The sequence below is a fragment of the Homo sapiens genome, chromosome X (genome assembly GCF_000001405.40).
Source record: "Homo sapiens chromosome X, GRCh38.p14 Primary Assembly".
NCBI classification, from domain to species: domain Eukaryota; kingdom Metazoa; phylum Chordata; class Mammalia; order Primates; family Hominidae; genus Homo; species Homo sapiens.
This window is the reverse complement of record NC_000023.11, coordinates 56279368-56292222: the sequence shown is the minus strand read 5'-3', so window position 1 is coordinate 56292222 and position 12855 is coordinate 56279368. Positions and strand designations below refer to the sequence as shown.

The 12855-nt window shown below is 38.8% G+C and overlaps 1 protein-coding gene across 17 annotated transcripts in view; it reads right to left on the bottom strand.

Moving 5' to 3' along the window:
* KLF8 (KLF transcription factor 8) overlaps positions 692-12855 on the bottom strand; it is a 383409-nt gene continuing 371245 nt past the window's right edge. For all 17 annotated transcript variants that reach the window (NR_136705.1, NR_136704.1, NM_001324105.1 and 14 more), the window contains one exon: positions 692-7910. Coding sequence is in view for 15 of the 17 variants with exons in the window: in NM_001324105.1 (NP_001311034.1) it covers positions 7729-7910 (182 nt within the window). In the remaining 2 variants the exon portion in view is untranslated. The remainder of the gene's footprint in view (positions 7911-12855) is intronic.

Genomic DNA, 12855 nt, shown 5'->3' with positions numbered 1-12855 from the left:
ACTGGTAGCATGGAATTGAGAACGCCTATAGCCGAAAGGGATGACATTGGCTCTTAGAATAAAGAAATGATTTTAAAAAATGATGAGATTTCCTATTTTTATCATTTGTAGTGAAAATCTCATTCTGGCAGCCCAGGAACAGTCACTTTTTAATTTGTTCTTCCTGCTCTTGGCCTCAATCTCCAGCACAGAATTTCCCTCTTTCTACTTTTCTCCCAGAGTTTCTCTGAAAGGTCAGGCAACTTCGACATCTTCACTCAGGGCTAGAATTTTTACTGCGGTGGCTTTGAGGTTTAAAGCTGTCCAAACACCCTCCTTTCCCTCCTTACATCTTAGGAAAACACAAACAAAATAGTGAGGAGAACAGAGCTGAGCAACAAAATCTAGCCAACTGAATCTGTATCCAACAAACTCTTATCAAATCCTTTGTAGGAAATACACAAAAGGAGCACAAAGCCTTCATGAAGCTCCATTCAGGGACACGGCTGAATACATTACCCAAAATGGGGAGGACCTTATATGATTAAACAGAGAAACTGTCATGTTTAAGACAACCTGGCTTCATTTTTTATCCCATGATACTACATAGTAGCTTCATCACAACTTTACCCAGCTAGGGGGAAAAAAGTGATCTACTCTTGTCATGCTGAAGAAACAGAGATTGGAGACAAAGTCAAGAAAATGGCCATGATTTCTGAAGTTTAAGACCTTTTTATTAATAAAAAAGTACAATAATTAAACTGAACAAGATTGCTTAGTCCCCAAGCACACACCCTGCATGGATGCCATAGTGGAGGGTCTCTGAAGTAGAACAGAGTAATCTCTAAGTGGCCATGCTAACAGAGGCAAATCTTGAGTATCTCCAGGTGCATAACAGACTTGTTTATGAGAGATTGCTCATGATTCTAGCCTCAAAGCCATGCCTCTGGAGCAAGAACTAGTATAAAATAGAGGAAAAACAAGGTGTTGCTCTAAAGCACTAAAATAATGGGGCACAAACATAAGAGTTACAGAGACTAAAGCTTAATATACTGTCTTATAATTTATTTAAACAAACTAACAATGACAAAAAATCCAACTGATCCTTTCACTGCAGGCTCCTTTCCCCAACACAAAAAAGAGAACCAGTTTCTGGCACTGCTCACCTGTGTGACTGCCTGTCAAAAAACAGGGATGGACACCACTAGGAACTCTCTTCCCCTTTTAATTCTGTGATACAATGAAAACAGCATGGCATACAGCATAGTTATAAAGTAATGTCCAACACAGCTACTTGTAGCGACTCTAGGAAAGGAAGGAGAGCTTTTAACAGTTAACAAAATAGTATCTCTTCCCCTGACCCCACCCCAACACCAGAAAAGGAAATGGAAATTAAAACCAGTGTTTGGAAAACAGAGAAATATCCTGCCACTGGTATAAATCCCATCCTCTTCCAACCCACTCCCACCCCCAACCACCCTACCCAACTTCCCTCCTCCTACCTATACTATTCAGAGTAAAGTAAGTTGGGAAAGAGAAAATATAAGTGGTGAAACTGAACTGGCCAAAGCTTAAAGGGCTCTGGAAAATTGCCTTTGTGCTTCTGAGAATGTGACATGGAATGTGGTCCAAGCAGAGTTACAAAGGGGGAAGAATACAGCTTCTGAAGCAATGAATTTTGCCTACCTCTTCCTTTAGGTCCTAATACATTTCAAGTATGGAAACAGATGATAATCGTATTGTTAGTAACAAAGAAGATATAGGGAAAGTGAAAGTAAGAGAATAAATAATATTGCTTCCAGTGGCCACTCTTTAATTATCCTTCTTACTCAAATTTATCTGTTTATCACCTAGGAAGCCTAATCTTCTCTTTTACATAGGGTAAATATAAGGTACTATAACTATCATTATAACAATGGTTATAATACTTGGTTGTTCACTTAAAGATCTTTCATTTTTGCCAAAATCAATTTATGAGAAGCCTCACAACATTCCTGTGAGGTAGATATTGAGATCCCCATTTTGCAAATGGATTAATTGAGGCACAGAGAGGTGATATGACTTGCCTAAGGTCAACCAAGTGAGATCTGGGAAAATACAGAAGAGAGGTAACTCAGGGTAGCATCACTGTTGTCAGAGAGCCATATTTAACAGTGAGAAAAGATAGTGCTATGTGTTTATTTAAATTTGGCCCACCCAGTTCCTTCTGTATCCATCCCTCTACAGTACCTCATACAAGAATTAGCAAACTGTGGAGCATCAGTAAGTTCCCTTGGCTTATTTAAGGTTAGGTACATTCTTGATGGTTTGGTTCATGAGAAAACTTTTTGGGGGCAGGATAGACCCCAGAATCTTGGAACTCAGATCACAGAAATCCCTAATTCCAGAATTTTGCAGACCACTTTGTTTCAAAGAGCTGTTGGAGTTCTAAAAATATTACTATTTTTATGTACATACACACTGTGCTGTAGTTGATAAAGTTGTTTCCCATGGGTATACAGGTTAACAATTCAGATACTGCTATATGTGCACACTGAATTTGAAAAATTAAGTAAATAGATGACAGAGGTTGAGAGCCAGGTTTCTCAGTATTAGTGTGGGAGGCTTCATGTAACTAACAGGAAGAAGCTAGAATGATTCACGTGGTAACAGGTTAGAGTTGAAAACATCAATATGAACTCATGTTTAGCTAAATAAAAATCTGGGTGATTACATATAGAAATATTTATAGAATGTGCATATACATAGGATAGTATACACACATATGTTTCCTTGCTGTTAGCTGAGACACCCTAGAAGCAACAATAGCCCAGTAACAATGAACATACCTAATGCCCAGATATTGGTTTCTAATACAATTTTCCAGTAAAAGAAACCAGGACTTCTTGAAGAAATGGCTGATTATAGGAGTAGGCCACAAAATATACAAGATGAGCCTGGAAGATCTTGCAGTGGCAGAAAGTAAGGACGTGCTAAAAAAAAATGATGGGGGTGTGTCAAAAGAACTTGAGAATCACCCAAAAGAGCTCCCAATGGCCAAAGCTGGAACAATTCGAGCAATAAAATAAAGTAGTAGTATTAGATTATAACTCGAAGTATAAAATAAATACCCATGAGTCCATGCTGATATAAATAAAGTATTGTATAAATAAATAAATGGGGGAGAAGAGACAATCTCCCTTAGAGAATAATTCCAAATAATTTATGTAAGATACATGCTCTGAAGGGTGTGGCATATAACTTACCACTCCAGAAGCATGGGCTGCACATAGTGATTTCCTTTCAGAGAGTACAGTATGGAGGGGAGGAAAAAAAGAGTACAGGGGAGAAACCTGACAACAACTATTTCAGCCAGGTGATCAAGGTTAAACAACAGTGATGAGTCATGTAAATACAGGCATACCTCGTTTTATTGTGCTTCACTTTATTGCACTTTGCTGATATTGCATTTTTTACAAATTAAAAGTTTGTGGCAACCCTGTGACCAACAAGTCTATTGGCACCATTTTTCCAACAGCATGTGCTCACTTCGTGTTTGTGCCAGTAACATGTTAGCAATAAAGTATTTTAAAATAAGGTATGTACATTGTTTTTTAGACATAATGCTATTGCACATTTACCAGACTACAGGATAGTGTAAACATAAAATTTTATATGCACTGGGAAACCAAAAAATTTGTGTGACTTGCTTTATTGTAATATTTGCTTCATTGCAGTGATCTGGAACCAAATCTGCATTGTCTCCAAAGTATGCCTGTATGATGTGATGAAAATGGCACTTCTTCTCCGTGGTCCTACTTTCAAAAACTCATAACCTCAGTCTAATCATGAGAAAGACAACTGACAAATCCCAGTTGAGGAAAATCTCTCTCAAAAGTGTCAAGGTCACTGAAAACAAGGAAAGTCTGAGAAACTGTCACAATCAAAAGGATCCTAAGGAGATATGACTATTAGATGTAATGTGGAATCCTGAACAAGATGCTGAAACAATTTTTTTTTTTTTGAGATCAAGTGTGTCGCTCTGTCACCCAGGCTGGAGTGAAGTGGCATGATCTCAGCTCACTGCAACCTCCGCCTCCCAGGTTCAAGCAATTCTCTTGCCTCAGCCTCTCAAGTATTGCTGGGATTACAGGCACCCACCACTACGCCTGGCTAATTTTTTGTATTTTTAATAGAGACGTGGTTTCACCATGTTGTCCAGGTTGGTCTCGAACTCCTGACTTCGTGATCCGCCCGTCTTGGCCTCCCAAAGTGCTGGGATTACAGGTGTGAGCCACAGTGCCTGGCCGAAACAATTCTTTAAAAAGGATCTTAGGTAAAAACTAAAGAAACCTGAATAAAGTATGGACTTCAGTTAATAATATTAACATATCAATGTGTTTTATTAATTGTAACAAATATACCACATATTAATGTGAGATGCTAATAACAGGAGAAACTGGGTGTGGGGTAAATGAGACCTCTCTGTACTAGCTTCACATTTTTTCTGTAAAACTGAAACTGTTTGAAAATAAAAAGTTTATTTTAAAAGAAGTTAATATCGAAAACCTTTGTCTTGCCCATAATGCACTCTGCCTAATCTACCCAATCAGTTCATACTCTTCACACTCATAGTTTTTCCTAAATTTTACTATAATTATGAAGTTTATGTTCAACTGCTGATCATCAGATAGAGGAATTCTGCTGCAACAAATCCCAGAATATTATCCAACCCTATCGATGCCATAAGCAACTGTCCAGGCTAACGGTGCTTTGCTGTTGTAAACACAACAAATTCAATTGAACCCCAAATGCTATTCAAGAGAGATACATTTTAGTTCCTTTCCACCTCACTGTCTATCTAGCAAAGTTTTATGTGTTTTTGGTAAACTCTGTACTGTGCTATATTTGAATTACTGTACTCTATAAAATTCTGTTAATGAATCCTGAGACACTTGTTAGAGCATATGTAAGTAATTGGAAAGCTTTTATCATTTTTTGTAGGGGAGAGGGAAATGAGAATAGGCTTAAAATTGCTTCTTTACTATAGGCAATTAACAAACATAAAGGCTGTCATTATGTTACAGAAACATTTTTAGATAAAGGCTCAGATGTCAGGGACCCCAATATTTGGGATCCTAATTTGATCAACCTAATTAGTTCAACAAGATATTTGATAACCTTTATTTATAAATAGATCATATGTCTCAATGCAAAAGATTCTGAGGTCTTAGGGGAGCAGTTCAGTTCTGAACTCTGAAAAAGGAGTATCAGGATCCAAATTTTGAAAAAAATGAGTAAGCTCGGGCTCTACTGTGAAATACTGCATCAACTACTGAATTATTAGCTTAAACTTATGTTAGTTCATCTTTACCAACCTGTCTTATAGCTACATTAGAGGTCCCCTTTAACAGACTGGCCCTAGATATCGCCTAGTGCGTTAGCAATTATTATGCAAGTTTGGAACTTGTATACCCAAAATCAGGAAAAAGCCCTATCGAAATAACAATGATAACAGTAAAAACCCACATGTCATTTTGAAAACTACAGGCAGTTCTTGGATTTATGGAGAGTTCATGAGATAGACAGACATTGCAAGTTAAAATGAGGTAAATAAAATCTAGATATTATAGAAGTGTTAGAAGCGTGTGCCTAATGTTATACGGCAATGACCACAAGTACATTTTACTTGCTATTTAATCAGCTGTAAATGATTTTTGAGTTCTAAAGTTTTCCTGAAGAAAACATATAAAATTAGACAAATATTGCAACCAATCACATAAACTTTAATTTGGTTTAATAATGTGATCCTGGCCAGGTGTGGTGACTCACACCTGTGATCCCAGCACTTTGGGAGGCCGAGGTGGGGGGATCACTTGAGGTCAGGAGTTTGAGACCAGCCTGGCCAACATGGCGAAACCCCATCTCTACTAATAATACAAAACTTAGCTAGGTGTGGTGGCACGCACCTGTAATCCAAGCTATTTGGGAGGCTGAGGCAGGAGAATCACTTGAACCCAGGAGGCGGAGGTTGCAGTGAGCCAAGATTACGCCACTGCACTCCAGCCTGGGTGATGGAGTGAAACCGTCTCTCAAAAAATAAATAAATAAAATTATGTGATCCCCAGGAGAATAAGCGTGCAGGTGTATAAGGGCTCAAAGAAACATCTGGAGAAAAAAATCTGACCCGTATTTGTCTCATCTGTAAAATATGAGGGATGGATAGGACTAGATGGTTAACGGGATCCCTTCTTGGTGCTAGAATTCTACAATATAGTGAGAATGGACAGCCTCAGGAAATAGTAACCTAAAGTATTCAAGCAGGGTTGAAAAGAAAAAGGTGTTCAATATAAAGACAATCTTTTAAAGAGAGGCTGAGTCTAAATTCAAGTGATGCAAAGCCCCCTCCCCTACCCCTGACCCCAGAAAGGAAATATGCCATGTGGAGGTAGATCTGTGGTCCAGGGCCAGGAACAGAGGATTTTGTACCCCAGGTAATATTATAAAACAATCTGATTGGGCAGCTAAATGAGTATATTATGCAATCTGCTATCAGCTAAAATAAATGGCTTAGGTTTTCATAGCAGTTGCAGAACATCAAATTGCTTTTTGTAGGTCAGTTTTCATGAAAAGCATCTATGTTTCATTTGAAACACAGGAATGAATGCCAATAATTCCATGGAGTGAACAACATTCCATTTTTCCAACCCCTTACTTCTGTATAACATGACCCTAGTGTGTGATTTCTCATCATGCAATATACTCAATTGCTTCTTTGTGTAAACGAAAAAATAAACAGTACAGCCAGCCCCTCAAGACACTGTCTCGACAGCCTGCCATTTGAATGAGGTTTGTGATTAACAGCACTTTTGATATCCTATACAAGTAAAGGAACCCCTCTATTTGTTCTCAGGATCATCCTAGGTCTGTTTGTTCCTGTCACTGCCCAACCTACTCTCCTGGAACATTTTTCTCCTTACTTATATGTCTATGTGTGCTTTGAATATTTGTCCAAATTTAACCTAACAAATAACAATTGTGCAGCAAAATCTTTAATCCTGAAGGAGAAAGTGGAAAAGAAAAAAAAGAGGAGGAGAAGGACAAGAACTCCTCATTCCCTTGATGAACTTAAGAAGCAGAAGCACCAGCACTGTCTGAAAACCAAACTTTAAGAAGAAATAGGATTAGATTTATTAAAACCTTTTGAGTGTGGTATGGGACTCAGCTTATTCACTGGGAATGTGCCTCAAACTCAGAAACCAAATCCCTGTAAATCTTACCAATCAACTACATTGTTATGCTCTTTCCATTTAGGAAGTTAAAAAAGTCGTTTAGGACACTATCAAACCACTTTTAGGTACTTATTTTAAAAACATATGGATAAGAGTTCTAGAAAACAAGAGAAAAATTGGAAAGAATAAAGCAGCGTATGTTTGTTCACAGCCTTGAGTTTGATTCCTGTTTTGTTACTGTAGGAAAAATGTCCTATTTCAGAGCAGGGGGGGATGGGAAGGCAGCCATGGGTGCCACACTGGAATTCAACCCATGTGGAGGTTGAAAAAAACGGGTCTGGACAGTGGAGAAGTGAAGGTAGAATATGAAGAGCCCCACGGGAGACCAGCTCTCTTTTCCTCCAGTCTCCTCAACTTGGCTCAGTGGGCTGCTTCAACCCCATATGCAAGCTGAAGTCAAAGAGGAAAAAATTGTCCCAACCTCAGCACACGACCAGGAAAGATACCAGCGCAGCTTCTCTAGTGTGACCTGTGCGGCTCACATGGTGTCATGGCGACGGCGATGCAGGGACAGGTGGTCAGAACGAGAAAAGCTGCGGTTGCAGTCTGTGCACCGAAAAGGCTTGATGCCTGTGTGCTTGCGGAAATGGCGAGTGAGCTCATCTGAGCGAGCAAATTTCCAGGAGCAGCCATCCCAGGTGCATTTATAAGGCTTCTCTCCTAAAAAGGGAATGTGACAAAAAAAAGAGAATCAGAGAGAGGATGATCGGATACTAGAAAGATAATAGAATACATAACTCGTATCAAGGCTTTAGTGAAAAGGCTAGGCAATAACCTTGAAGGCATATGCCTGTAAATCTTTTAAGTTAATTAATTGATTGAGAAGCACTGTATAAATGTACAACATGATGTTTTGAGATGTATATACATTGTGGAATGGCTAAGTCGAGTTAATTAACATACATATTACCTATATACTTATCTTTTTTTGTGGTAAGAACACTTGAAATCTACTCTCTCATTGATTTTCAATAATACAATACATTGTTACCTACAGGAGTTCTAAAGAAAGTCCAAGATGTTAGAGTGGGAAGCACATAGCCTCTTGTTCAAATAGGCCTTTGTGTGATCCGGCTCTACTACAAACTAGCTGTGTGATCTTATATAATCACTTCTCCCTGGCTTGGTCTCTGTTTTCTCATCTCTAAAGGATAAAAATATATCACAAAGTTGTTCAAAACATTTTATTTTTAAAAGATAGCTAGCAACCAATACAACTGGGATCTAAACTCAGGTCTTTGGCACTTTATAATATCCGTTCCTCTAATATCTCCTACCAAACAGTCTAAAATAGAGCCATATGGTCCGGTGCGGTGGCTCACGCCTGTAATCCCAGCACTTTGAGAGGCAGAGGCGGACGGATCATGAGATCAGTATATTGAGAACATCCTGGCTAACACGGTGAAACCCCGTCTCTACTAAAAATGAAAAAAATAAGCTGGGCGTCGTGGAGGGCGCCTGTAGTTCCAGCTACCCAGGAGGCTGAGGCAGGAGAATGGCGTGAACCCGGGAAGCGGAGCTTGCAGTGAGCCGAGATTGCGCCACTGCACTCCAGCCTAGGAGAGAGCGAGACCTGTCTCAAAAAAATAAATAAAATAAAATAAAATAGAGCCATATATACACAGGATGAATGTGTGATTCATTGGAAAGGGCCCTCAGCTAAGGCTACAGGTCTTTTGTGTAAGGTTAGAAACTCAAGGGCATGTAATGGCATGGGGGGCAGTGTCAGGTCAAACTTTTTGAAATAGCTCCATGCCCAGAATCTTTGGGTTGTATTTGAATTATATATAGGATATGTATGCTCAAGATAGAAAGCTAAATGGAAAAAAAGTAGTATAAAAAAATTAACGCAGTATGACCCCATTATGGTATATAGATCACACACCATACATTTGTATACTCATAATAAAGCCAATATCAATACACTTAAATGTACATTATGAGAGAAACTGTTAACAGTGAATGACTTTGTGGAAAGTGAGGACCAGGGATGGTGGGAAGAGAACTTTTCATTTTTACTTTATACCCTTTTGTACTGTTTTAAATGCTTTAAAATCATAATGTTGTATCATATAATAAAAATTTTGAAAAAGGAAATAAGCTATATGAGCAACAATAAATATTAACTGTGGATAAGTCTGGGTTGTAGGATTAGGGTAATGTTTGCTTTCTTCTTAATACATTTTTCTGTTTCCCATCTTCTACAATGAGCATGTATTATTTTACAATCAGAAACAAACAATAATGCAGACACAAAAATGCATTGGTATTCTAACAGTCTCTTTCTCTCGGTCTTTTCCCCTTTACTCCCTGTAAATTACCTAGGGCATTTAATTTTATGCTGTTCTAAATTCTGGTGGCAATCTGGCTTGCATAAACTGTTTTCCAACTTACTACACACCACCTACCAACCCTCCCAAGTGTTTGCTAATTAACTGTATAGTGTTCACATAATGAGCAACAGAATGAAATCCAGTCTGAATCACAGCTTTGGACTATATCAAGGCAAACATTTCAAAGATTAAAGACATCAATTACTGATCATTTCAATATTCAGAAATAGCTGCATTAGCTGCTAAGAAGAATGAGATAAAGCTGGATGTAATGAGACAAAAAAGATGGCAAATGAAATGTTATCAAATTAAAAAAGATACTGAACAACCACACACACACATGCTCACGGAGAGTAGGATCTCATTTATGTTTTCTAAATCTTGTGCCTGTCCTTCTCTGTCTCTCTCTCTCCAAGGAGGAAAGATCTGGAAGGCTATACAACAAATTGTTAACAGAGGGAAGAAGAATAGGATTTCAGGGGATGTTTAGAGTGTGTAAATTAAATTTTCACTTTTTGTTCTATGTGATTTTATAGCATCTCCACATCTCCCAATGGCTGCATTGCTATCTATACATTTTGTTGTGATCTCTCAAGAATGTCTTCTGAGAATTCCTATATACACCTCAACCAATTGAGGAAAATTTGACTTGTAAGGCAGTGACACCCTGTGGTGATCAGAGCTCATTTCTAGAACACACAAATTATTGTAAAGGAATTCAGCAGTGAGGCCCATTTTCCTATTTCAAAAGCATTTACCCTTGTATTATCATTGAACAAGCTCCTGTTTGTGCCAATGAACATCATACAACACAACTTGTAATCTCCATCAACTTATCATTTGAATTAAAGAACAAAGTATATATGCAGAGAAAGAATTCATAATATAAAGCACATATATTAACTATGTGACAAAGATAGTAAGTGTGACATGGCAGGTGCGGTGGCTCATGCCTGTAATCCCAGCACTTTGGGAGGCTGAGGCACATGGATCACTTGAGGTCAGGAGTTCGAGACCAGCCTGGCCAACATAGTGAAACCCCGTCTCTACTAAAAACACAAAAATTAGCCGGGTGTGATGGTGCACACCTGTAGTCCCGCTACTTGGGAGGCTGAGGCATGAGAATTGCTTGAACCCGGGAGGCAGAGGTTGCAGTGAGCTGAGATCACACCACTGCACTCCAGCCTGGGCGACAGAGCAAGACTCTGTTTCAAAAAAATAAGTAAGTGTGATATAAGTTCCAAGGCTAGCTAATAACCTCTGGGTTACTGTGAAGGCACAAATATGGAGGTATGGGCAGGTTTTAGATGAAGAAAGCAACCCAGGCAGCTGGTGGCAAGGTCTTGGCAAGGCAGTGCAGTGAATGGTACATATAGGGTCAGCTGTCTTGGAGCATGGAACATCCTTACAAGAGTATTATGAGATGATCCTTATTATAAAAGACAGATGAAAAACTTGGGATTATTTTTAAAAAGAGAATTTGGACTTAAGCATAAAAGGCAATGATATACCCAAGGGGGTGTGTGTGAGAGCAGTCTGTCCTAGGTGTGAGCAATAATGGGGATGCATTGACAATAGAGAACTTTAAAACAATAATAAAACAGACTAAAAGTTAGTCTAAAAGTTAGTCTGTTTAACTCAAGAATGACTTGGTCAAAGTTGTACATTAAAATTATTTACCCATGCTGTATAAGGTGGACTACAATGACTAGGAGCCTACTGGGGTAATCTATTTGTCTGGCATATAAAGCTCAAATTAATTTTTCATTGAATTGATGAAGGAATCAATAATAAATATAAGAACAAAACCTAAGGAGGTGACAGCGAGATTGGAATTGAAAGAAAAACATTAATAAAACCTAGCATTTATTGAGTATTCACTATATGCTGGATACTATTTTAAGTATTTTACACTATTAAAATTCCAAGATTGGGAAATTTAGGTAAAGAGGGGCGAAGCAACTTTCAGCAGTGAGTAGCTGATTGAGATGTCAAATCAAGACACTAGTTTCACAATACATAGTCTTAGCCATTATGAATAAAAAGGCTATTCAAAATTAGAAAGAAATAATAGAACTTTAAATACAAATAACTCAAGACATAAGAGAATATTAATGGCTCATGCCTATAATCCCAACCACTTTGGGAAGCTGAGGCGGGAGGATCACTTGAGTCCAGAAGTTCGAGACCAACCTGGGCAACATAGTGAGACCTCATTTCTACAAAAAAATAAACAAAATTAGCCAGGTGTGGTGGCATGTGCCTGTAGTCCCAGCTACTCCAGAGGTTAAGGTGGGAGAATTGCTTGAGCCTGGGAGAGCAAGGCTGCAGTGAGTCGAGATTGTGCTACTGCACTCCAGCATTGGAAACAGAGTGAGACTCTGACTTGGGGAAAAAAAAAGATAATGGTAAGAATCAATGATACATTTGGAGCCTGGGAAAATGGGTGATGCCATTGTAAATATACTGGGACTTGACAGTATGAACACAGTATGTTTAACAAGAACTGTTATATCTGTGTTTCCTGCTTTGTATGATTGCAAACTCAGGGGAGATGAAGTGCTGCACTGCATGCCTGGTCTTTGCAGATAAGCAAAGAGTCTTATGGCTCTCTGCTGGAAGAATATCTACCAAAGACAGAGACGGCACTCTCTAGGACCCTTAACAATGAATCACAATCTTTGGAGGGCAATGAATCAGGCATTTCTGTCGCTGCCTCAGTCCCAGGGAACCTGTGGAATACTAGCAATAGAGAAAAGTATACCTAGGTTAGGTACAAATGTCTAATCCTATGGGGCTTTACCCATTTACTACCTGTGTAACTATTGGCAAATTCTCTAGCTCTATAAATGGCACCTCCATTCACCCAGTCACCCAAAACAGAAACCTTAGAGTCACCAACATCCACTTAATCATCAATGTACCTCCTTCTCTCCATCTCCACTGGCAACATACTAGTTGAGCTGTCATCATTTTTTGCCTGGATTGCTTCATTAGCCTCTTAACTGATCTTACCCCTTCCACTCTTGCACCTCAATGCTTTCTCCACCCACTGCTGCGCTCAATATGTCCTAGCTAAGCTGAACTAGTATCAGTTATTAGAACAAGGCAAGCTTATTCCCATCTCACTAGTTTTGTACTCTGACTAGCCAAGAATAGTCTTTTGCCACGCTTTTTACATAGCTTGCTCCTTCTCATATGATCGTTATTCTCCCTACTTTAAAAAACTTCCTTAGTTACACTAAAAGTTCAGACTTCATCACTATGTATCA